General features: G+C 43.2%; 1 protein-coding gene, 1 long non-coding RNA gene and 1 pseudogene across 2 annotated transcripts in view, besides 2 other annotated features; 2 read left to right on the plus strand and 1 right to left on the minus strand.

Annotated features, from left to right (window-relative positions):
- ITGA9 (integrin subunit alpha 9) overlaps positions 1 to 26,673 on the plus strand; it is a 371,367-nt gene that overhangs the window by 282,932 nt on the left and 61,762 nt on the right. The window contains exons 20-23 of the mRNA NM_002207.3: positions 1,832 to 1,911; positions 6,658 to 6,747; positions 8,854 to 8,962; positions 15,390 to 15,497. Of these exons, the coding sequence (NP_002198.2) occupies positions 1,832 to 1,911; positions 6,658 to 6,747; positions 8,854 to 8,962; positions 15,390 to 15,497 (387 nt within the window). The remainder of the gene's footprint in view (positions 1 to 1,831; positions 1,912 to 6,657; positions 6,748 to 8,853; positions 8,963 to 15,389; positions 15,498 to 26,673) is intronic.
- Positions 6,494 to 7,302: an enhancer, noted in NCBI's record as "H3K4me1 hESC enhancer chr3:37783057-37783865 (GRCh37/hg19 assembly coordinates)". NCBI's record gives its function as "activates a minimal SCP1, AML or CMV promoter by ChIP-STARR-seq in primed H9 embryonic stem cells {active_cell/tissue: H9 hESC(primed)}" and the evidence as "EXISTENCE:reporter gene assay evidence [ECO:0000049][PMID:30033119]".
- Positions 7,705 to 8,382: an enhancer, noted in NCBI's record as "NANOG hESC enhancer chr3:37784268-37784945 (GRCh37/hg19 assembly coordinates)". NCBI's record gives its function as "activates a minimal SCP1, AML or CMV promoter by ChIP-STARR-seq in naive H9 embryonic stem cells {active_cell/tissue: H9 hESC(naive)}" and the evidence as "EXISTENCE:reporter gene assay evidence [ECO:0000049][PMID:30033119]".
- RPL21P135 (ribosomal protein L21 pseudogene 135) lies at positions 12,999 to 13,863 on the plus strand (annotated as a pseudogene).
- The window catches only part of ITGA9-AS1 (ITGA9 antisense RNA 1), a 108,092-nt gene continuing 100,035 nt past the window's right edge, over positions 18,617 to 26,673 (minus strand). The window contains exon 4 of the long non-coding RNA NR_110531.1: positions 18,617 to 18,980. This is a non-coding gene — a long non-coding RNA (ITGA9 antisense RNA 1). The remainder of the gene's footprint in view (positions 18,981 to 26,673) is intronic.

Raw genomic sequence — 26,673 nt, forward strand, 5'->3', positions numbered from 1 at the left:
TCATGGCTATACTTTGGCTTACCTTGGATGGCCATGTATTTCTCTCTCTCACAGCCTGCCCAGTTTCTGACATTCTGTTCTTCCAGGCCTCCATCCCTGATTTTGGCTTCTCACCCAATTCTTTTGCCTGTCATCTCACTGTGCTCTTTAATGTTTTTAATTTAATTCAGATCTCCTCCCAGTGCTGACTCTACACCAGTCAAGACCCTGCCTCTCTCTTCCTTCTTGTCCTCTTCCCGCCCTGTCTCCATGCCTGCCCCCCACCCCACAGTAAGCTGACCAGTCCCACAGCAACAGAAATTTCTGTCTAGAAAGAGATGTCCATGTTCACTGTAGATGATGGTCCATTGTAATGGACCAATGTCCGTTGCTTTCAGGAAACATTCAGTAGAATTCAGTGTTGCAAATATTAGACCATTGCCTAGAATTCACCATAATGGAACCCAAAGGTTTAGACATTGTATAAGTTATAGGCTCTCAAAATTTGATGAAATTTAAGAACCGTTTTGTCCAACCTCCTTTTTTTATTGAAATGCAAAGACAGTATCTTAGCCAAGATCACAGTCAGTTTGTGGTGGAACCTGGTCCTGTGACCCCTACCCAAGGGTTCCTCCCACATTCTCACACATGCCTGACATGTATATGGTGAACACCATTTACTTAGGGCAGTGCCCCCTACTCACAGGATGTTCACCACTAAGTGGTACACTAGATAATTTTAGATGGTTCATGAAATTATCGTGGGTGATACGTGGACGCAGCACTGAACAACATTGACCCTAACAGTGACCCTTTTCACCTTAGTCAGTTCAGTCATCTATAACAAATTACCCTGGGCTGGGTGGTTTAAACAACAGACATGTATTTCTCACAGTTCTTAAGGCTGAGAAGTTCAAGGTCATGGTCCCGGCAGATTCAGTTCCTGGCGAGAGTTCTCTTCCTGGTTCATAAACAGAACCTTCTCTATGTGTGCCCATCTGGCTTTCCCTTGGTGTGTGTGCATGGAGAGAGAGAGATCTCTTTGTCTTCTCTTCTTCTGAGTGCACTAATTCCATCATGAAGGCCTCACCCTCATCTAAACCTAAGTACCTTCCAAAGACCCCATCTCCACATACCATCACATAGGGGGGTTAGGCCTTCCACATATTAATTTGAGGAGTGGCGGGGGGACACAAACATTCAGCGCATAAGACTTTTCAATAGTCTTCCAATCCTAGCCACACTCAGGAGAACGTCTCCAATCCTGCTAGCACATCTTTAACACTTCTCTATCACCAGCAAATCTCCCTTTTCAACAAAGATGGAGTAGACCTTAGGCTCAGAGGCTTCCAAAGGCAACAGAGTTCAGCATTGCTCTGTTTTCATTGTGTTCATTTTTACAACTACCTTCTCTTTTTGGCAAGTGATCCTGGATTCCCATCTATGACAGTGATATAAATTGTTCTTTTAAAACAATCTTTAAACTAAAAGAGTAAGGCAACAAAAATATGAACAAATATCCCAGGTGATGTAATTTGCAGATGTGGCAGAAATTGAAAAGATGGTATGTGAGTGAAACTTAGAAAGTCCCGGTTAAAGAGTGTAAACGCATCACTTCCTAAGGAGAGCCTCGGTGGCGGAACAGGAGCAGCAGGTCTCTGGCCAGAGTATGTGTCAGGCTTGGTTTTACTGTTAAAGCTGTGACTTTGGCCTGACAGTCAGAAAGCTATACATAAAACTAAAGCTTATCATGCAAATGAGCTTCCAGAGGTCATAAACTGCAGAAGATGGAAGAGAACAGTTTAAGTTTGGAATGCCTGCTGATGCCAAATACCACTTCCTTTTTCACTAGTATGAATTCAGCGTGATCTTTGATACAAGCCACCTGTCTGGGGAAGAGGAAGTTCTCAGCTTCATTGTTACTGCTCAGAGGTAAGGGGGGGGTTTAAACACTTTTTTCAAAGATGAGAGATTTATGGGACCAGGAAAGGATGTGTCCTGGTTAAGCTTTGATGAATCCCAGGATGCTGAGGAGGAAGAAATGGTTACTCAGTGATAAAGCCTTGAGCCGCAAAGTGGAATTGGATTTCTTGGGGATGGTGGTTGCCTAGTGCTGCTTGCATAGCCGCCACTGCAGATTGAACTGAGAGGAACTGGGCATCAGCCACTCAGAGGTGATGATTCTACAGCTGAGGAGAGACAGGCCCAGGGGGGTGAGGCTCTAGTCCAAGGTCAGTTCCCACTTGGCTGTGTATTTCCCAGATCAGACAGATGTCCTCTGCAAATTGTCTGGCTGGGCCCACTGCTGCTTTTGGACATGGTGCTGTATCCCTTGATGGAGTGGGCAGGTCACCTGCAGCCTGAGGGCCTGGCTGAGCCTGTTGGCAGAGGCCCCAAGAGATGCTACTCAAGAGAGGGCTTAATTTGGAAGCCAAGTGGATGGATAGGAAAGGGGATCGTGGGGTGGCAGCTTCTCCCCTCAGTAGCATGTGCCCGCCCCTCTCCAGGATAGCCATGAGTGCCTGTGGGGGCTTCTGGGGAGTTACAAGATGCCTTCTCCAGGGCAGATCCAGCATGCCTTGAAGCAGCATCTAGGTAGCACTTGGCTGGCAGCTCCAGTGGAGGGAGGGGCGTTCAGGTGGGTGAACAGGGAGACACAAGCTTTGATTGGGGTGGTGGTTGGACACCCAAGGCAACCTTTTCATTTTCACTTGGAAATGATCTTAAACTTAACAGAAGTCTTACAAGAATAGTGCAAGGAACTCCTATATACCCTTTACCCAGATTCACCCAGTGTTAACATTTTGCCTCATCTATTTTATCATCCTCTTTCTATATAATTTTTTTTGTTAACCATGTGAAAGTTGCAGAAATCATGCCTCTTGATTCATAAATACTTCAGTGTGCATTCCCAAGAATGAGGCTGTTCTCTTAATAAACTGTAGTATAGTTATCACATTCAGGAAATTGAACATTGACACTATGCTATTAGCTAATCCGCAGTTTATGTTCTGATTATGCCAGTTATCCCAATAATGTCTTTTTAGCCGCTTCTTTTTACTGGTCCACAAGACTTGGTTATTTTCTATTGACACTATTTTCAAGATCACATAATTTACATCACATAAAACATGACTGTGATCTAATAGAAGCCTATGCAAAGCATAGATAGGGTAGACTTCATTCCCATTGCACAAAATCCAGAAGGGCTTCAGTGGGGAGGTAGCATTTAAACAGAGGAGTCTGTTTTCAGGCTGAAGCAACATGGGCACGGCAGTGAGGCTGTCCATGGGGCAAGAAGCCCTGTTACACCTGTGTAGGTGGTGGGCACGAGAGTGTACTGGGGATTCGTGCACCTTCTCAGAAGAAGGATGGGGAGCACACAAGCACAGTGGGAATGGGGCTGAAAGAGGAGCCTGGGCGCTAAACCATGGGGGACAAAGGTCACCTAGAAAATCTGAACTATATCCTGATGGCACTGAGGAGCCACTGAAAGTTTTTGAAAAGGGGAGTGGCACAGTGCAACAGCTTGGCCCCAGAGCATGAGGTTGATGAATTTGATAAGGGGCGGCAGATGCCCATTCAAACCTGAAAATTCTCATTCTCTTGCCATTTCTTGGATCCACAGAACACTCGCCATTGTTGGGCAGACCCATCAATGTGCTCTCTTGGTCCTTCCACACCTGAGGCAGCCTGTATGCCTGGGAAGGAATGTGACATGGAAGAGATTTCCCTTGTCAAAATAGAAGACACTTCCTGCCTCCACCTAATTCAGGGCTAATCATAACAGTCAGAGAGGGCAGGGAACCAGTATTGCAATTGTGAAAGGTTCATTTGTTAGAATAACATGTCCACACAGCAGCAGTGCTCTGGTTTTGGATGCATATTAGAATCGCCTGGGGAGCTTTCAAAAATATCGATGCCTGATCTATCCCCAGAGACCCTGACCCTGCCTCTGCCTGGGGTGAGACCTGGGCAATGGAGTTTTCAGAAGGGCTCACCAAATGATTCTAATGAGCAGCCAAGGCTAAGAACCACTATTTATAATCCCTTACTCTGTGCTGGGCACATTTTCACTCAGTAAATATTTATTGTGCACCTTATATTTACCAGTTGCAGTGCTAAATGCTGGGCACATGAGAAAATGACAGTAACCTACTAAATTCAAGAACACCCCCTATGTACATTAACAGTGCTGCATAGCTTCAGGAAGCCCTAGGATCTGTAGCTTCAATAATATAAAAATTTCTAGTTTCTTAAATCACAAATGTTAAGATGACCATATTATCTTCTAAGCACACACCAGAATATTTCAGATGCTCATTTCTTTTCAGGCATTGGTGAAGATATGGTCTGACTGCCCCGGAGGGCACCCACACACAGCGCTTGACTCCCTGCTATGACGGAAAGATCCTTAAAGCTCCTTATCTTGAAAACTACAGTTAAAATCTCAATTGTTCCTTTCTTCCATCACCACCCTTTGAAGGTCTCTTTGCCTACTTGTAGATTTAGGGGGACATAACATTGAGACTGAGCAGTTTCTTGAACCTCTCCTCTCAGCAGCCACCAGCCTGGCTTTTGCAGACCACTGGAAAGTATCCCAGCTCATTAGCTTTTGGAATGACGGGAAGCCTTTTGATGTTTGACGTCTTTATCTCAACTCTTCAACTTAGCTCATTCTGGAGCAGTCACACGATGACAGATGAGACGGTTGGGCCTGAGCCGGCCAAACAAACGGCAGGGCAAGACCTGGCAGGATGCTGGGGTGGGGGCGGGAGTGGGCCAGGATGGTGTTAACCCATCCACAGGGGAGTCGCCTTTGGCCTGCCCACAGCAGTGATCCCAAGGCTTTTGTCACCCCTTGGGAAAGGAAGGACAAGGAAGTCAGGCTGTGTGGGCACCTGATCCTGCTGCTTTTGCAAACTGTGGATGCCCCTGAGGGACTGATGTCACCCCATGTAGGAAGACAGATGAGGAGCCAGGGCAGAGACTGTGGCCCTATGGGGTCAGCGTCACACAGCACCATTGTTTCAGAACAATAGGAGGGAGAAGGAGAGGGGATGTGAGAGCTATTTAAGTGCTGTTGCCATTCAGCACTTGCTGGTTGAGAGAGGAAGGCAGTGGGGCAGGGCTTGGAGGGGGCAGAGAGAGGGCACAGAGCAGACAGGGACTCAGCAGATGTTCAGGGAACGGCGTGGTGGGGAACAGTCAGGATGAGCTGAGCCAGCCTCAGCAGGTCTAGGGGACTCTTTTCTTCCGCCCATGCAGGGTGAACTTGGGAACCAACTGTGAATGTAGGTTCAAGAACATGTACCCAAGAGCCACGCATTTTCCCAAGGAATAATGATCACAATTCCTATTAGAAATTTAATAAAGTAATAAAGGGAAACTAGGTCTTCTCTCTCTTCCTCCTGTTCCTTCTCCTCCCTTCTTCTTTTGCTCCTCTTCCTTCTCGCTCCCAAATCTGGCATCAGGAGCAGGAGTCACAGCTGAGAGAGCCCTAGTTTGAAGTCTGACTGAGCTGGTTGGAATCTCAGCTCTGGTTTGCAGGGGGGCCTTGGGCAGTTACCTGATTTATCTGACTTGCTCCTTACCTGTCAAAGGTGGGTGCTCCATCTCCCTCTGGGGTTGCTCTGAGGTCTCAGTGAGGCCATGCTGAGAAATGCCCGGCATAGTGCCTGGCACATAGTAGCCACTTAACAGCATCAATTCCCTCATGTTCACCTTTCCAGAATGATCTCACAAGAATCCCCGTTCTGTGCTTTCTCACCCGGAGGCCTTATGTGGATGTATTTTAGAATCACCTGGGGAGCTTTCAAAAATATCGATGCCTGATCTACCCCCATAGACTTGCTATAGCCAGGGTCTATAGCGAGAGCTTCCATGATGTTTATAGTGGTAGGTTTGGTCAGGGCCTCTTTCCTGGGCTTGGCTGTCCATGGATGATGGGTGGTCCTTTCAGGTGAGACATAGCTGCTGAAGTCTAGCAACTCCTTCCTGGCTGCAATACCCTAACTTCATTGGTCCATTGTTCGTGGAACAGGCACTTACACAAGTAGCACACACAGTAGGTGCCCTGCCCATAACCCCTCAGCCCTCACCCTTCCCAATCTATCCGCAAACTGGGCAGATTCCGGCTCCCAGCACCAGCCACCCTGCTGAGGCTTTCTCTGGCCAGAGCCCACTCACTTGCCTGACAGGCAGGTGCCAGGGGGTTCATTCCACCCCACCCCCACCCCCAGCAGCAGCAACAGCAGCTCTCAGGAGTCAGTGGATAAAGGCCTGGCTCCCATGCCCTCAGCTAGGAAGACTGACTCTGCCTCACAGAGTCCCCGCGAGACTGGGCCCTGGCTGCCGACAGCACGACCCTCCTGTATGGCATGCCTTTATTGTCTCCTTTCCTTTGCTCTCTCCCTTCTCCACTCTCCAGTCCTACTGGCATTTCCTGGGGCCACCTCTCGAATAAACTACTTACACTCAAATCTTTGTGTGGAACACAACCAAGACAATAGAGTGCCCTTGATAGATATGTACAGGGACCAAAAACAGACTGAAGGCAATGAGGTGCCATCTGCCCTTGGAGAATGTAGAGATTCAACTCTAAAGTGGAACAGAGAAAGCCCACTGCTGGACAGCTAGTGTTGGCCAGCGTTCATTCATTCTCCTCTCTCTGCACAGTGGCAACACGGAGCGCTCTGAATCCCTGCATGACAACACCCTCGTGCTGATGGTGCCACTGATGCACGAGGTGGACACGTCCATCACCGGGTGAGTAGCCTGGTCCTGGGTTGCCACAACACAGGAGTGCCCTCCAGTGGAACACTGTGCTTCTCATATTTGCATGTGTAGCCAGCCAGGAGCCAAGGGCTGTGCCACCTCCACTTCCTCCCAGCCTTGAAAAGCAGGATGAAGCTTTAGCTGCAGTAACTCATACACTCCTCCCTCCTTGTTTTCTCCTCTGTCCCACCTACCCACCCACCTGGTAGATAATCTGAGAAGTTTGATGACAAGTTTAAGCCCCATAATTTCTTTGAACATTCCATATACCTTTATGTGCATATATTCTCATCCGCCCCTAGTCCCTCCAGAATGCTGTATGGTAACAAGCAGCATGGCTCCTGGGATTAAAATCTCAGCTGGAAGTTGCTGGGCCAGAGATTATCACCAGATGTGTCTCCAGTCCTGGCTCACAGGAGGACCACTTTCTGATTAGCTCCACAGGCAGTGCTGGCTTTGCTTGTTTCTGTTAACTCCCTCTGCAGAGCCAGAGGTGGCTTTTCCTGATGTCTATAATGGTCTGGAATGGGCAGGGAACCATCCCATCGGCCACACTGTCTGTCTGGGTCAAGTCCACGGTCATTCAGTGCCGCTGGCATTGTTGGAAAGCAGGACCCTGGGCTGCAGTCTGTGGAGACCTGAAACAACCTGTGTCAGTTTTCAACCAAAGCCCCAGCTTGGAAAAATGAGAACTCCATTTCTTTCCAGCTTCAGAAAACAGAGTGCATACCTCTTTGATAGTGGAAAAAAGATTTACACAATTAGTTTAGATCAGGTGAGGACCCACTGAACCCTTGACCCAAATGCAAGCTGAACTTTCTGGAGGTTCACAGTTTCTAATTTTTCGGTTTTCAAGTGCTTCTGGGTCTCAGCCTTGATTAGCAGTAGAAATGTTGATCCCTTGCAGGGAGAGCCATCCCTGCACTAGCCCGCACTGCTGGGAGCCAGTGGAATGAGTCTCCAAGCATTCCTGCTCCTGAGCTTTTGGCATTTTTGGTCATGTTTTTTAAACATGAGGTACTGATGGAATATATTTGCAAATTAGCATATTTTTGCCTCTGTTCACAGCTCTATTTTTAACTGTATCATTTATTTACTTGTCTCATCAAAGGCACAGCAAGAATATACCCAGAACCAAGCCCTATCCTTGGGGACAAAGAGAAAACATTCTCCCCACCACCCCCAGACACTTGATCATGTAATCAGTCCTTAGAGGACCTTGTTGGGAGGTGTTAACAGCCCCTGATGAAGCCATCAGTTAAACAAATGAGTCAACCTCTGATCTCTCCAGGAACCTAAAACAGCTCTTGCCATTTGGTAATGCTGGGAACTCACTACCTTACTAAAATAATGCACTAAACATTGAAAATGGATGAGTTGTTGTCTATTCGGACTTAGTCTCAAAAATCTGCCATTGTTGTGTTTAGGTGAGTGAGTGGCCTCCAGCATCTAGAAGTCGATATTTGTCTGGGAGTGTCAGTCAGAGCTTTGTTTCTTCTCAGGAATGTGTTCATATAAGCAACATTGAAAGCATTGCTGCAAACTGAGCTTGAATTCTTCTCACCTCTTATGTAGCCTCCGAAATCCAAGGGAAAATGCTATCAATGAACGGATTCAGCTTTCAAATGCCTAACTTCTAGTCATCTTGGCAGTCTGATAAATTTAAGTTTTTTAAGTGAATTTGTCATAGAGTGGGGTTTAGGATGCCAAATACATAACTCATTTATATTTATTTTTTAAAAGCTTATGATCATCTTCTTCAACCCATAAAACATTTTTCGAATGACAAAACAGAAAATGTATACTTTTATAATCCAGTTTTTAAAAAGTCAAAGCTATGATAATCTTGTCATTTCAGAAAGGTAATCCCAGTGCATATTTCTCCATGCAGCTTATTGACGTAACCTAAGATGAGAAGACACTACTATTCATGCCTGGTCAGAAAGCACAGACTGGCTATGTAACAGCCCCAGCAGGGAAGCACTGGGTGCAAGACACTGGATTAAATTGAGACAAATGTTTGCTTCTCAGAATGGCAGTGACCATGGGTGCTTGACTGTGGGTGGGGATGACAGATTTCATGCTTTCCTCTTTCAGAATCATGTCTCCAACCTCCTTTGTATATGGCGAGTCCGTGGACGCAGCCAACTTCATTCAGCTGGATGACCTGGAGTGTCACTTTCAGCCCATCAATATCACCCTTCAGGTACCCACTCCTGGAGACCTCCTCTGTCCGTGGGGGCTAACGGAAGGGCACATGGGATGTCTCTCCTACAGAGGGCTAAGCTCTTGTCAGGAGAAACCCTTCTGTGGTTGGCTGGTGTGGTGTGTGTGTGAGATCTGTAACCACACACAGAATGAATCCTTTTCGATGCCTGGTACTCTGCTGTGCAGGCCCCTCTGCTTTTTCAGGATTTGGAAGGACAGGTCCACGTCATGAATGCCAGTTTTCCCCAAGAAGCCCTCTGTGTGGTGGAGGCCTCAGCCAATGTCCCAGCCCAGATGACCCCATGAGGACCCCTTTCTGTTCTCCATCATTCCCCACCTTCTGGGCAGGGCTGCCTCAGAGGATTTGCTGTGTCCCTTCCTCCTGAGATTTTCTTGCCAGCTCATCCAGGAGCCCACTCCTCCTGCAGGGGAACAGCCTTTCGGAAGGGCAGTTTTATAAGAACAGAGGAGTGTGAGCCCCTGTGAGCCCCCACGGGAGGCACGCTGCTCCCTCACTGAGCCATGGCTGGCTTGCCCAGGCACACAGGCATCATTTCCAGCAAGTCCACTTGGTGTAGACTGTGGACCTCATGAAGGACACTGTTTCTTCTCTTAGTTGGGGGTCAGCAAACTTTTTCTGAAAAGAGCCATGGGGTAATTTAGGCTTTGTGGGCCATTTGGCCTCTGCAGCATCTATTCAACCATACTTCTGTAGTTCAAAGGCAGCCATAGATAACACAGAAACAAAATTTTAGTTCCTTATAGACAATGAAATTTGAATTTCGTATAATTTTCACATCATGAAATGTAGGCCCAAGCGAGAAAGGATATCCTGAAGGTCCCAGAGCTGGGAGAAGCCGGGCTGGGGCCAAGACCTGGCGGCACTGGCCGGACCCTGTGTGGATGAAGTGAAGGAGATGGGCCCAACTCACCCATAGGACACAACAGTCCATATCTCCTCACTCTCTGGTTCTACCTCCCAGAACTCTTCTCTGCCTCTTGCGTCCTTCCCCATGGAGAGATGGTTTCCCACTCTGGCATTCACTGCTGTGGCTAAATAATAATTATTTTCTTTCCTTGTGGCCTCTCCTAGGTGGACTTAGGGGATGACAAATAATGACAGGGTGAGGGTCTAGAGAATGTGGCAGTAAAACATTTGTGGGCTCTGACAAACAATGGTCTTCCTCTCCCCAGAGTATTCTCCCAGCAACAGACTGCGAAACCATGATACATAACACATGTCCCCAGCTCACAGAGGATGTGCCTTCTGACCAACTAAGCCCCTGCTGTCACACCCTGCTCTTGATTTACAGGGGAGAAAGGGAAGGATGGGGTTAGAGCTTGTTTTTGAGACAGTAGAGTGATTGCTGTGAACAGCACCTCTGCATTTCTGAATTGCTTCTCAGAGTTATTTTATTTTTCTCCTTTGCTTTTCGTAATTGGGTAGGAAATAGATAAAGACCTGATGGGTTTATTTCATCTTAGTTGTTTCTACTCTTTCCTACTCTTATAGTTTTGGGGGTGTCTTGCAATTAAAGATGTAGTTCAGAAAATTATTTAGAAGGGTTCAAGTAACACAGACCATGTAATGAAGAGGGTATGAGTGTTGAAAGAAGGAAAAGAAGAACAGGGGTTGCACAGAATATACCAAATGTTCTTATCACCCTCTGGGGAACAAAAGAAAGAAATCTGAGGGTATGCAGCTTATCCTTCCAGTTGTTTCTCTGAAGGTAATTTTTACAGTGAGTTTAAAGTTTGGTATTCAGGCAAATAGTTTTCTTCACATCTGACCTGAAATAGGACTCAGGCTAGAGAATCCAGCCCTGGGGAATGAGTGATTGGCATGTCCCTTAGATAAACTCCTCCGTGATCCATTGCCTCAGGAAGTGCACAGCATTCAATCCAGGGTTGAGAGAGTTGGGTCTGAAAGATTGATAGTGTGTGCCATTGATTAGAAGGAGATCCTTCTGTGCTAGCAAAGCCCACTTTTTCCTTGAGAATTGTCTGACTACTTATTTATTGGTATAATGGTTGTTATTGTGGTTGTCCTGCAGGAAGGTCACTAACCAGCTTGGCAGTGATAATGACCAGAAGGTGAAAATACTGTGGAAGGAGGCCAGGAATACGGAGAAAATGTTTCTATATTTCCTTATTCCAGTAATATTGTTCCTGAAGGAGAACATAAGACTTTCCATATGAACAGATTTTTCTATGCTTTTAAAAATCGGTTATTCAACAAGCTACATAATTGTTTAAAGGCTCCACTGCCATTGTACACAGGAGAAAGGCAGAAATACTAGTCTTGGGCCTGCTTTTTACATTTCATCATAGTTTTTAAACAGACACATTAATTTCTCGACAATAAGAGGCTTTTTTGGCATCAAAATTTAAAGCATTTCCCCACCTGAAAAACAATGGCCAAAAATAATGCAGATATTACACATGAACATTTGCAGAGAATCCAGTATAAAGACATTTGTTAAAAATAAAGATGGTAATACAAGCTCTCCTGTCCTCCTGGCTCTGATGAGTGAAATAGTGCAAATCAGCATCCTTTTCTTCATTGCTTACCCCATTCATGCTTGAAATGGGATTTCCCAGACATGCCAGGATGTTTCTTTTTAATTCTGTGCACTCATGTTTCACTTCAAATTAGTTATTTCAGCTATGGTCAGATATTCCTTCCTTTTCTATGTCTTCAGGTTGTTTGGTGAATATTGTTCTTTTTTGAATCAGGAGTTGGCAACCCACTCATCTGCTCTATCAGTTTTTATCTATTTATTCTTTGAAGTGGAACCAACTATTGCAGAAAACCAAAGACACAGTTTTCTAGGGAAGAGCTAGCTGGAGCTAGATCTTCATACATCCTGTCATGTGTGAAGACCTGGTAAGATTTCTGGCTTTTTGTTGGCTCTGCCCTTCTGACCTCAACTTCAGAGTTGCAGATTCCCTGGATTCTCTCTCTAGTGCCCAGGCCACCAAGCAGCATGTCATTCCTTCCTCTCTCCTACTTATCCTTTTTAAACATTTAGTTTTAAATTGACAAAACTTATATATTTTATATTTTACTCATCTTTTTAAAAATAACACCTTTATTGAGATATGATTACATACCTTAAAGTTCACCCATTTAAAGCATACAATTCAATTATTTTAATATGTTTACACAATTGTGAACCTGTCATCATCATCTAGTTGTAGAATATTTTTAAATTTTTTTCATTTTAATTTTTGTGAGTACATGGTAGGTGTATATATTTATAGGATACATGAGATGTTTTGATACAGGCATGCAGTGCATAATAATCATGTAAAATGGGGGTATCCATCCCCTCAAGAAATCCCTTGTGTTTCAGACAATCCAATTATACTCTTTTAGTTACTTTAAAATGTACTATTAAATTATTATTGACTATAGTCACCCTATTGTGCTATCAATTGCTAGGTCTTATTCTTTCAATTTTTTTAATCCATTAACCATCCCCACCACCCCCCGCCACAGCCATCCCCCCATTATCCTTCCCAGCCTCTGGTTAGCATCCCTCTACTCTCTGTCTGCATGAGTTCAATTGTTTTGGTTTTGAGTTCAATTGTTTTGGTTCAATTTTGTTTGATTTTCACAAATAAGAACATGTGATGTTTGTCTTTCTATATCTGGCTTATTTCTTTCCTTTTTTTTCTTTTTTTTTTTTGTTTTGTTTTGTTTTTTGAGGCAGTGTCTCACTGTCACTCAGGCTGCTGGAGTGCAGTGGTGCAGTCTCAGCTCATTGCAGCCTCAACCTCCTGGGCTCAAGCAATCCTCCCACCTCAGCCTCCTGAGTAGCTGGGACTAGAGTTACACACCACCACGCCTAGCTAATTTTTTTTGTGGAGAGGGGGTCGGGTTTTAGATACGGGGTTTCACCACGTTGCCCAGCTGGTCTCAAACATGCCTGCCTCCCAAGGCTTATTTTACTTAGCATAATGACCTCCAGTTCCGTCCTTGTTGTTGCAAAATTTTGGAACATTTCAATCACCCCCAAAAGAAATTTCGGCCTTTTGGCCAGAACCACCATCTTCCAGTAATTCGCCAAAATGTCGAACACAAAGGGAAAGAGGAAAGGCACCTGATATATGTTCTCTAGGCTTTTTAGAAAACATGGAGTTGTTTTTTTGGCCACGTGTATGCAAATCTATAAGAAAGGTGACATTATAGACATCAAGGGAATGGGTACTGTTCAAAAAGGAAGGCCCCGCAAGTATTACCATGGCTAAACTGAAAGAGTCTACGGTGTTACCCAGCATGCTGTTGGCATTGTTATAAACACACAAGTTAAGGGCAAGATTCTTGCCAAGAAAATTAATGTACGTATTGAGCACATTAAGCACTCTAAGAGCCAAGATAGCTTCCTGAAACACGTGAAGGAAAATGATCAGAAAAAGAAGGAAGCTGGCGGCACAGTAGCTCACGCCTGTAATCCTAACACTTTGGGAGGCCGAGGCAGGCGGATCACCTGAGGTCAGGAGTTTGAGACCAACCTGGCCAACATGGTGAAATCCCGTCTCTACTAAAATACAAAAATTAGCCGGGGATGGTGGCAGCCACCTGTAATCCCAGCTACTCAGGAGGCTGAGGCAGGGAGAATTGTTCGAATCCAGGAGGTGGAAGTTGCAGTGAGCCGAGGTTGGCCCACTGCACTCCAGCCTGGGCGACAGAGCAAGACTCTGTCTTAAAAAAAAAAAAAAAAAAAAGAAGGAAGCCAAACAGAAAGATACCTGGGTCCAACTGAAGCACCAGCCTGCACCACCCAGAGAAGCACACTTTGTGAGAACCAATGGGAAGGAGCCTGAGCTGCTGGAACCTGTTCCCTATGAATTCATGGCATAATAGGTGTCTAAAAAATGAAAGACCTCTGGACTGTTTAAAAAAAAAAAGAAAAAAGAAAAATCCTTAACCCATTGACATAGCTTCTTGTATTAATTTCTTATTGCTGCTGTAACAAATTACTACAACATTTGTGGCTTAAAACAACACAAATTTGTTATCTTACAGTTCTGAAGAACAGAAGTCCAAAATGGGCCCCGCTGGGCTAAAACCAAAGTATCAGGGCCTGTGTTCTTGCCAGAGGCACCAGGGGAAAATCCACTTCTTGCCTTTGCCAGCCTCTAAGGGCTGCCTGCATTCTTTGGCTCATGGCCCCCTTCCATCTTCAAAGCCAGCAATGGCTGGTCAAGTCTTAGGATGTTCTCTTTCTGATCTGACTTCTGCCTCTTCCCTATATAAGGACTCTTGTGAGTACAATGTGCTCACCTGGATAATTCAAGATACCCTCTTTATTTTGAGGTCGCTTGATTAGCAACCTTAATTCCCCCTGGCCACATAACATTCACAGGTTCCACAGATGAGGACATGGACATCTTTGGGGGGCCTGTCATGCTGCCTGTCCTACTCCCTATTCTTCCTGCTCCCCAGCCCTAGGCAACCGCTAATCTACTTTCTGTCTCTAGAGATCTACTCACTTTTTTTATTCCTCTGCATATTCTGTTTCTTCCTCGAGTTTCATGTTCAGCTTTTTCCTCTCCCTCCTTGCTCTTACTGGTCTCTGTGACCTCCATCTTTTTCCTCATTTCTCAGGAAATGATTGACTTCTGAAGACAGAAAATGGAGAAATGCTAGGGAAAACAAGAGAGGCAAAGTTTTATAGAACCAAATGCTGAGACAGAAGAGGGGTACAGTTGTGCAAGTGATGAGCTGCAGATTGCCTGGAAACCAAATCAGCTGGCTCATGTAGTAAAAACAGCCCTTTCTGTATATTCGATCGCTTGGTTTTGGGATGACCCACTTGGTCCTTGAGGGCCTCAGTTACCTCAAACTGGCAAAGGAAAGAGGTTGGACCAGATCTGTGGGTCTCAAGTGGTGGTTCCTGGACCAGCAGCAGCAGCATCTCCTGGGACCATGTTATAAATATGAATCTGCCAGCCCCACCCTAGACCTACTGAGTCAGAAACTCGGCATGACCCCCACTCCATACCCCCCCACCAAAATGTGTTTTAACAAGCCCCTCAGATGGTTCTGATGTTTTGCTGAAATTTGAGAACCACTGGACTAGATTATGATGTCTGAGTTCTCACCAAGTGTAATAGTCTATGAGTAAATTCCTATGCATGTAAAAAGAAAAGTTTTAGCAGGAAGAAGACAAAATGCTGAAAGAGAATATGGTAGTTTCAAAGTTTGAGATTTTTAGATGCATGTTAGAAGTGTTTCTATTTTGTTGAAATTTCCCGTCATTCAGTAGTTCACTTTACTTCAAGTTGTGACCTTCCAGATCCGAACCTTAGAGTTTCTGTATGTGATTTCAAAGAATCTTAGAATATATATTGCATGACAGGAAATGGAGGTCTGCTATTTTCCACTGAGACTTGCTGTGTGTGTTCCACACCCACAGGTCTACAACACTGGCCCAAGCACCCTTCCAGGGTCATCTGTCAGCATCTCTTTCCCTAATCGACTCTCATCTGGTGGTGCAGAGATGTTTCATGTCCAGGAAATGGTGGTGAGTTCTCCATTTGTTTTCACTATTGCTTTCAGCTTTGAGCCAGCCCATTCAAATTTTGTATTCCACCCTACCCTGACATCCACCTTGAGGGTTTGGAAAATTCAACTCATTCTACCCTTTGGAGACATATCTGGAGAGGCCAGGGGACCTGTGATACCTGAATTTCTACATTGAGACCATTTGGTTAATGCTGTAAGAAGACCTCTTTGGAGATGGGGAAGAGTTAATTACGAACCAGCTCCTGGGATGGACTTCGCTGGCTCTGGGAACCCCCAGCAGCATCTGCAGTTGCATGCGTCTGAATGCATTTTGCTGAGTGCATTTTGCACAGGGAAAGTGCCTGCAGTCCATGTTGAGAGGATTGTGAAAGCATTGCTCTCTATAGGGGCACGTGAAGGACATTCAGCCAAAGGGACAGTTTTTCCATAGATAGCTTGAAAATCAGGGCAGCAAGGCCCATATGGAGCAGGTGAATATCTGAGCCGAGAGTTGAAGAGGACACAGCCCACAGGGTGGAGGTTCAGAAAACATTGTGTGATGGTGACAGTAATTTCTGGCATTGCTGCCCTCTGGGTCATGTGGACTGAAAACCAGACGCATGTGAATGTTGAATGTAGAACAGGTCACTCCTCCCGAGATGCCAGCTCAGATGTTAACATCCCTCATGATGTTCCATTCCAGTTCCATGGCATCCCCTTGTCTTTGGGCTCTGCTGACCCAGCAGAAGAAAGCCGCCAGTGTTCCGCACCTATGATGTACTATGGTTGGAACTTAGCATGAGGTGAACAAACCACACAGGCTTCTGGCTACCCTCTTAAATATTATTAACCATGCTGACCATGCCACATTTCCCCAGCATCTAGGAGTGTTCTCTTCCTAGAGCATGCTTTCTGAGTTGTTCACGTGAACATCTACAGTGTTGCAGGAGCCTTTTTTTTTCCTATGGGCAAAATCATCTATTGACCAAAACAAGACATTTAAGTCACTCAGATTCTGAAGGTACCCCAAAACCAGGGATACCCCTTTTCCTCTTTACTGATCATCGAGCCAAGGAAAAGCCACTGGAAGGGACTTGGGCTCACACTTACAAATAGCTGGCTTGCATGGAAGGCATTAGAAGTGGTTTCCTGAAGACCTGGACAACTGCCTGGCTATCGTTCTGGCTGAGTGGACCCTCAGATACCCAAGTGGTGTGAGCTGGCTGCACTCTGTTCTTTGGGCTCTGAGAAACAAATCCTTTGGATTTTCAAAACTATATTTAGAATTTTCATAAAGTCTGTAACAGACTTGGCCCTAGGATGGCCAAGTCTCCATCTGGATAGCCCAGCCTGTGATCAAAGGCTGTGGGCATCTTCATCGTATGGAAAAGTAAATTCACTGGCACATCTCACTAAGCAAGTAGGAAAGCTCTCTGTGTTCTTATAAACGATCACCACTGAGCCCAGAATGACAACAAGAGTAGAAGCATAAAAGCGAGTGCATGAGGTGCTGTAGTGAAGAGGCGAGAGTCCCCAGATACTTGTTTCAGAGGCCCACAGCTGGCACACCCTCTGCCTTAAAGCCCTCGGCAAGGGCCTCCTGTGGCTCCGCCCCTCCCTTGCTCAGTAGGGCCTGAGAATGCTCACTGGGTCAGGTGTGATTCAGAGCTCATGACGGTTTCCACTTTGGCCTTATGGGACTTTGAATGGAGCAGGGCTTTCATTCTGGGGATTTGGGTGGCTTGGTGCAAGTGAAATTCAGTCCTATTAGGAGAAACCAGCACTCATTCTCTGTACTGCACTAGGAGGTGACCCTTTGGCCTGGTGGCATTCCCTCCCCACCCCCACTCTCAGCCACCACCATTCCCCAACCTCCAAAGGCTACTGAACAGCTGGGCACCAGCTGGACATGTTAAGCCAACTGAAGCAGAAACAGATTATAGGCATGGAGGGAAGGCTCATCTGTCATTCCTCTCCACACCCTTGGGACCCTCAAATTGTTTCTCCCTCTCTAACAGTGCCCTTGGTGTCTGTATTGCCTGTGATCATCATCCATAGAGCATAATGAGGATGGGCTTACTCGCCCTATGGGCCCTGGGCTGTCACCCTACCTACGGACCCACGTGTGGCACAGTTTTCTGACTTGGTTCAGAATTCATTTAGAAGTCTCTGGGGCTGCTTCTGGGGTCCCTGGGCAGGACCAACCTGCCTCTAGCTTTCACCAAAGAGTCTTTTGTGTTTGCCCAAAGCATTTCTTGAGGTCCAGCTGTCTGTAAGTGGAGAGTGTCTGGCTTATATATGGGAGGTTTTTACGGGGAGCCTAATGAAGTGTAACCACTCCAAACTCCCAGCCTTGGCTCGTGATCTTCTTTCCTTGTAGCTAATGTCTCTGAGCCCCTCTGCTGTGCTTGTATTTACCTTAAAAACAGAGCCACGGTGGTGGCCTGAGGAAAGACTATCAATTTTCACTGCTTCCCACCCACGGGGGTTGTGTGGACCCTACTCTGACTTCCCACAGCACAGAAAAAAAAGGAAACAGGTCACTGTGGACCTAGTGTCTGTCCATCAGGAAGCCAGGTTGTAATGATCATGAAAATAATAGAGGGGAAGAATGACAGACCTTTCTAGTCTATCTGAAATAGCAAAATTACTAGTAACAAATCATTCTTGATTTGTTCACAAACACTGGCTCAGCAAGTACCTATTACGTGCCAGGCTCCAAGGAGAGGAATAAGTCCCACATCTGCCCCAGAACTCACTGTCTTGCAGGAAACAGATACATAAAATGCCATTGTAATACCGTATAACAAATGCAATAATGGAGGCATGCCCAGACCCCAGGATGCTACAAAGGTTCAGTGCTTCACAAAGGAACCTCTTCAAGTCAGGGCTTAGAGGATGTCTAGTTCACCAAGAGAACAGGTGAAGAAGAGAACATTCCAGATAGAGGAACAGTCACCACTTGTGAGTGTATGATGAGTATCTGCTGTGCTGGGAGCTACACCCGGTTCTCCATTCTGTTTGCCTAGCTCTTATACAAATAGGCAAGAGTAAGTGTTCCGTATGCCTTCTGCAGATGTACAGCAGATAGATATTTTGGCAGAATGACAGAGAGTACTGAACCACAGTCATTTCCTCTGTCAGTTTGTAAATTAATCACTCTTCTTGGGTACATCGTGTGTGTGCTGTAGACCTGAACCTTCCTACCTGCTGACTTAGGCATGGAGAAGGCCAAGCTCCCTGTTTGATACTAGAGTCTAACTACATGTCATGGACATTGTCAGCAAACCACCCTTGGCCTGCTGCAATGAGCAGTAGCTACTGACCTCCCTAGCTTACTTTTTTCCTTCTATTGGACAGTCATTCTAAAAAACTCACCTGATTTCCAGGAATAAAATGAGTGAGCCAGACAGCTTATGGGAGGCAGGCTGTGTCCACTTGCTCCTTAGAGATTTCTTTTTGAAGTGAAGATAGATCATCTTCTCAATTTTTCAGAACAGACCTGAAAAATTGAACCACTTCACTTTATTGCCATTCTTCTGCAGAGGCGAGCCGTGTAGCATAGCCCCTGAGCACAGGTCTAAGATTGCACCAAGATAACACATCTGTCACAAGCTTCATGGCTTATGAAGGGAAGAGGGTAGTGGTCTTTCCAAAGTTAAGTTTTACTCACAATTTCTGAAGGTTCAATGGAAGAGATGGGAGCTTTATCTCAGACTGCAAGCTTCACTTGATGGAGTTAAAAACCTGTATCTGTGAGCAGCTTTCTCACACTGGAGGAGAAGGCTTTGGGATTTGGCTCTTGTTAATATGCAAGAAGGGGAAAAGTCAGAAATGATAGCTAACAGGGAGTGAAGGGCTAGAACTTTTATTCCAGGTGAAAGTACTGGATTTTTGAAAGAACTCTAGTGTTAGTCCAGAAGAGATATAAAATAAATATCATACCATTCATTCCTCCTCCTGCAAAACCAATTGAAAATATTGGCCTCTCTGGCTTGTTGTTTTCTTGCTATGGGGCAGTGATTCTAAAGAACTGACCTGATTTCCAGGAGGTAAAATTGTAGGGATGAATGATAATTTTCTAAGGAGATATATCAATGTCTTTGCCATAGGGTACCATTAGGACATTGACTTCAATATGGCATGAATACCAACATCTGTTAGAATATTCCAAGTTGGTGCCAGGACTCATATTTTAGTAAACTGTAAAATCTTCCCTCCCCATGCTTGTACAGTAGACAGGCCTACCCATGATGTACGATGGGTATCCCACAATGAGTCAGTTGATGTGGGAACTTCAATTAATTTATAGTGGGACTGCTCACATCCCTATGAAGAAAATATGCACCTGATACATCACTGACCATAACAGGAGCTTAAAATTAGACATAAATGGAGGAATGAATTGTTTTCCCCAAGGATGACCTGGAGGAGCTTCTTAAGTTGGGGCCATCAAATCAGTCGATATAATCCAAAGCTAAAGAGTAAAGAAATTACTCCTGAATAACTGACCCCCCCAAAAAAATGAATACCATTTATTGCTGTCCCAAGGCTTTAGTAGCCTTTTTCATGTGCTGTCAAATTTAATCCTTATGGCACCTTCATAAGGTAAGATCAGCATCCCAAGTTGAGGAACCAAGCTTCAAGGATTTGCCCAACCTGACACAGCTGCTAAAAAGTAGAGCTGGGTTTGTAACCAGGTCTGACTCCAAAGTTCACGTGGTTCCCATTGTGCTGAATTGCACACTGCTCCTGAAAGTGCTGCCCACTCCCTAATCACCAGAGGCAGGCTCAGTCAATAGGACAGACAGATGAGGAGTAGACCCCCAAGAATCACCCACCAGAGGAGGAGCATCAACACCAGGGCAGAGAGGCAGCAACCGCAATCAAAAGAACTAATACCAGAGGGTGCAGTAACAAGGCCAACAGAAGGCTTCTGAATAAGCAAGACTGATGTCTTCAGAGCAATGCAAAAAGACAGTGTTTCCATGAAACAGAATAAACTAGAGATTTGTAAATTCAAGATATTGATCATTCAAATGAAACTTCAATATAAGCCATAGAGTAGAATAAATATTAAAGAATAAAGTAGGGGATTCGAAACTTGGATTTTCTGAGAATGTATTGCAGAAGAACAAAAAAGCCAGTTAAACTTATTCCTTTTTTTAAATAGCAATCTGGAATGAAAATATCAGATGATCATAATATAAGAGTTAGAAGTCAAGAGAGATGGAAATGAAAGCAAGTCAAGATTCTTGTCTTGGGGGGACAAGTTTATGTACCAATTAGCTCAAGGCTTTGGTAAAATAAATGTTTAAATATGTAAAATTTTAAGGGCAACAAAAAACAATGTAGGACATCCAAACCACTAAAGAAGAAGAATTTAAAACATAATTAAATTCAAAACAATCCAAAAGGAAAGAATTTATGAAGAAAAAAATAAATGTATAATAAGATGGAAGTAATAAACCTAAATATTTCAATAATCAAAATAATAATTAATGGATTAAATGCCCTAAAGACACTCTCAGATTAGAATTTTAAAAATCCAAGTACCAAATAACTTGTAAGAAATACACCTTCAAAGTTACCCAGAATGTAAGGCATTCAAAAAAAAAAGGCAAATATTAACCCAAAGAAATAAAGTATAGCAATATTAACAGCAAATGAAGTATAATTAAAGCCCAAAACCCACAAACATTAAACAGAGCAAAAGAAAATATATTTCAGAGTGTTAAAGATTTAGTCCACTAAGAATTTGTAACATAAATGAAATTTTATATAACCAACAACACAGCTTTAACCATAGAAACACAAAAAGAAATTGACACATTCACAGTCATTGCAAGAAAATTTATTGCTTTCCCCTCAAAAATCATCACACAAGTAGGAGTAAAATAATGAGTATTTGAATAATGCAACTAGAGTTGCGATCATTTATATAGAGACCAAGACAGAATGAGTCAGAATGTCTGATTTTCATTACTGCTCCCTTGTTTACCAGCTATGGCAACCTATAGGAAGTTACCTTAACTCCCCAATCTTATTTTCCTCATCTGTAAAATGAACTAGTAGTAGTACCTATCTCACACTGTAAGGACTGAAGAAACTAATTTATATGGAGTAATTAACAGAGATCCTAACATAAATAAGGGAATGCACATTCTTTTCAAATGTGAACATTTACAAATTATTCAACATACAACAACACAAAAATAAGCATCAATGGAATTTTTAAAGTCAAAGCAGTAGAAGCCACAGTCTCTGACCACAATGCAATAAACTTGGAAGCTAAAAACAAAAGGTTAGGCAAACAACCAACCAAAAACAAATCCACTTGGGAAATTTTAAACACCATTCAAATTAACTTTTTAGAAAAAAAAGAAATCAAAGTTGAAGGGATGAACAAATTAGAAGTGAAAGACAGTGAGCGGTTGTTCATATCAAAACCAATGGGATTTAGACAAAACCAACACAGAGGAAAATGCCACTACTTACATGTGGAAAATAGGGAAGACTGAAAATAAGTGAACTAAATTGACAACATAAAAACTAGACAAGGGACAATGAAATAAACCCAACTCAAAGAAAGTAAAATGAAGGTATTATTAAAGACAAAGCATATCCTGAAATAGAAAAAATAATAACAACAAAAGTATTCCACATTAGCAAAATCAAAAGCTGTTTTTTTGTCCAAAAAAATAGACAAACCTGCAGCAAGCTTCAACAAGAAATAAAGAAGAGCGATGATGCCAAAAAACAACACTAGAAATACTTTTTAAAGAAGTACCATACTTATATGAAGATTTAAAATTTATAACATCTTTTGAGCTGGGCATGGTTGGCTCATGCCTGTAATCCCAGGACTTTAGGAGGCTAAGGCAAGAAGATCCTTGAGCCTAGGAGTTCAAGACCAGCCCAGACAAGGAAGTAAGACCTTGTCTCCACAAAAAATAAAAAACAAATTAGCCAGGCATGTGGCATAAACTACTTGGGAGGCTGAGGTGGGAGGATCCCTTGAGTCCAGAAGGTCAAGGCTGCAGTGAGCCATGTTCACACCACTGTACTCAAGCCAGGATGACAGATCCTGTCTCAAAAAAACAAAAACAAAACAAAAAAATCTTTTCAATTTTATTCACACAAAGATAAAATCTGAATAAAATATGCATGAGGTTAAAAAAAAAGTCCAACTAGACTATCTTAGAAAAAAATGTAAAAGTAGACAAAGACCTATATCTTAAAAAAAATCACCGACCCAGATAGCTATATAGGCAGATTCTAGTAGGCTTTCAAGGAATGGATAATTCTTATGTTAATATAAGCTGTTCCAGAGAGTAGAAAAAGATAAAGAAACTCATTCCAGAAAACTAACATAGCCCTGGTACAGAAACCAGAAATGGAGAGCGGGCACACTCACGCAAAAATAGGAAGCAGTGAGCCAAACTCACTTTGAAAACAGATACAAAAGTTCTAAATAAATTGCAAATTGAGGGCCGGGCGCGGTGGCTCACGCCTGTAATCCCAGCACTTTGGGAGGCCGAGGCGGGTGGATCATGAGGTCAGGAGATCGAGACCATCCTGGCTAACAAGGTGAAACCCCGTCTCTACTAAAAATACAAAAAATTAGCCGGGCGCGGTGGCGGGCGCCTGTAGTCCCAGATACTCGGGAGGCTGAGGCAGGAGAATGGCGTGAACCCGGGAAGCGGAGCTTGCAGTGAGCCGAGATTGCGCCACTGCAGTCCGCAGTCCGGCCTGGGCGACAGAGCGAGACTCCGTCTCAAAAAAAAAAAAAAAAAAAAAAAATTGCAAATTGATTCCTATTAGAAGAATAATATAGTCTGGGTAAAACAGGATGTAATCCAGGAATGCTAAGTTGGTTCTCCATGAGGAAACTGATTAATATAACTCATTATATATTATTATTAATAATAAAAGGATTAAATGAAAAATAACCAAATGATAATCTTGATAAGGGTTTCTAAAAAGTTAAAAATTAAATTCAACATTTATTTATGATATTTTATTACATTTCCAGTAAGGAAAGCATAGAAGACTTCCTCAACTTGACAAAGACCCTTTGCCAGAAACCTATAGGAAACTTCAAGCTAAGTGAGGAACAGGCATGAGTCCCTGCTAGTGTCTCTTCAGTTTAGTTGTGTTGGAGGCCTTAACAATAAAAAGAAATGATAGCCTTTATTCTTAAAAAAAAAAGTATCCTATTGTAAAAATTGTTATTGTCTCCCTAAAAAAATCCAAGAGAATCAACTGATTGGCCCTGAGGACTTGTGAATACAGAAGGTAAGAGCTGAAGCTGACTGTAAACTGCCTGATCTTCAAATGCTTTCCCCAGAGACACACACAGACCCACCAACTGAGGGTGAAAACCTTCCTAGATCAAGATGTTTACATACAGCCTCTGACCAGTCACTGGCTGATCACTAAGCTGTGCTGATCCAGGACAGCCCCTACAAAACCAGGCTTAAAAATAAAAACAAGTGATAAATATATATATACATATATATATACCCACACACACACACACACACACACATATACCCACATACATATATATGCATACATGCAATATATATTTTGCCAGCAGAAACATCAGAGGCTGCACACTCCAGGAAAAACAGACTCCAGAGACTATGTCTAGGCAAGTCACTAAACAAACAAAACAAAAAAAAAGTAACAACTACCCCTCAATGGGAGGGGTAAGAATCCAGAATTGCTACAATATATTATCTAAAATGTCCAATTTAAATACACACAGACACTGTATATATCATATATATTTCTCATGTGCTATACAGGAAGAAAAAAACAGTTAATAAAAACTGAGGAACCCAGATGTTGGATTTAACAAAGACTTCAAAGCAGCTATTACAAATGTTTAAAGAACTAAAATCAGTTTAAATAAAGTATGACAGCAATGATTCATCAAATAAAGAATATCAGTAATAATATTGATGAATAAATTAAAATAAGTGGAAATTAAATAAATGAATAATAAAATAGATGGAAATTATAAGAACCAAGGGGAAATTCTGGAATTGAAAGTAAAACATGGGCTGAGCATGGTGGCTCATGCCTGTAATCCCAGCACTTTGGGAGGCTGAGTTGGGCATATCACCTGAGGTCAGGAGTTGGAGACCAGCCAGGCCAACATGGTGAAACCCTGTCTGTACTAAAAATACACAAAAATTAGCCAGGTGTCGTGGGCAGGTGCCTGTAATCCCAGCTACTCGGGAGGCTGAGGCAGGAGAATCGCTTGAACCCGGGAAGCAGAGATTGCAGTAAGCCGAGATGTGCCACTGCACTCCAGCCTGAATGACAGAGCAAGACTCCATCTCAAAAAAAAAACAACAAATAAATAAAAGAAAGTTAAACACCTGACTGGGCACGGTGGCTCATGCCTGTAATCCCAGCACTTTGGGAGGCTGAGGCGGGTGTGAGGTTAGGAGTTCAAGACCAGCCTGGCCAACATGGTGAAACCCCATCTCTACCAAAAATACAAAAAATTAGCTGGGAGTGGTGGCAGATGCCTGTAATCCCAGCTACTCAGGAGGCCGAGGCAGGAGAGTCGTCTGTAATCTCAGCTACTCAGGAGGCTGAGGCAGGAGAATTGCTTGAACCCAGGAGGCGGAGGTTGCGGTGAGCCGAGATCACACCACTGCACTTCAGCCTGGGCAAAAGAGTGAGACTCTGTCTCAATTTAATTAAAAAAAAAAAAAGCAAAACACCTGAAATGAACAATTCATTAGAGGGGCTCAATAGCATATTTGAGCTGACACAGAATCAGTGAACTTGAAGCTGGATTACAGTACAGATTTTCCAATCTGAAGAACAGAAGGAAAAAAGAATAAAACACAAGCAAAATGGTTGAAGCCCCAGAGGCCTTTGGTGTGCTTTGTGGGACACCACAAAGTTTATCAAGATATACACAATTGGAGTTGCAGAGAAAGACGATAGAGAAAAGAGGGCAGAAAAAAAAATTTGATGAAATATCGTTCCAAAACAGTGGCAGTGTATAAACTCTTCAATAAATGATATGAAGACAATTGGCTATCCATTTGGGAAGACATTAGAGAAAGCCTGTACCTCACAGAAAAAAACAAACAAACAAAAAACAGGTGAATTAAAGTTAGATGTTAAAAAAAATATTTGCAGAACTGAATATTTTCATAATCTTTAGATGGGAAGCTCTTCTTCCTAAGCAAGCCATAAAATCCTGAAACCATAAAGAAAAAATTAACAAATTTAAACCTATAAAAATGTTAAACTTTTATGTGATCAAAATACATCATAAGGGAAAAGATATTTGGGAGAACATATTTGCAACATGGGTAACAAATAGATAATATATAAATTACTTCTACAAAATAATGCAGAAAAGACCAAAAATTATAAAAATGGTTGAAGTTATATGAACAGGAAATTCACAAAAGAAGAAATTTTAGGGGCTGGGTGTGGTGGCTCATGCCTGTCATCCCAGCACTTTGGGAGGCTGAAGCAGGAGGATCACTTGAGGCCAGGAGTTCAAAAAGAAATTTTAATAGCAAATAAACATATAGAAAGATGCCTAGCCTCACTGGTAATCAGAGCAATGCAAACTTAAAATGAGGTTTTTCTCCTCATTAAACTGGCAAAAATCTAAAAAATTGTTAAGATCCATTGTTGGTTAAGATGAAGAGAAATGAGCACTTTCAAATACTGCTGGTATGAAAGGCAATTTGACAATAACTACCAAAATTTAAAATATGAATATCAACAATTCCACTTTTAGGAACCTGTCTCAAAATTTTCACATAATATATCCAGGAGAAACTTCTAATTTTCTGATAGTAGGTGTATATTATCAGGGTTCTCAGCATAAATGTTGACTTCTATTTTGGTGAAGCAGAATATAACTTTAATAATGCTCCCTTAGGATTCTGAGAGAAAGTTGTTAGATTCAGACCAAAAAGTATGAAATCTTACTAACTTATTACAGATAGGTATAGTGCAGAGATACTGTATCAAGTACTTTACAAGAACAAATTAATCTAATCTTCATAATAATTTCTTAAGGAAATTGAGGCAAGGAAGAGTTAGAGGGAAGGCCAAGGTAAATTGGTAAGTGGCTAAGTTGACGTTCACTCTTAACAGTGGGGTTCACTGTGAAATAGGAGTTCAGCAGGACTTGTTTCTCAAGA

The sequence above is a fragment of the Homo sapiens genome, chromosome 3 (assembly GCF_000001405.40).
Source record: "Homo sapiens chromosome 3, GRCh38.p14 Primary Assembly".
Classification (NCBI taxonomy): Eukaryota; Metazoa; Chordata; class Mammalia; order Primates; family Hominidae; genus Homo; species Homo sapiens.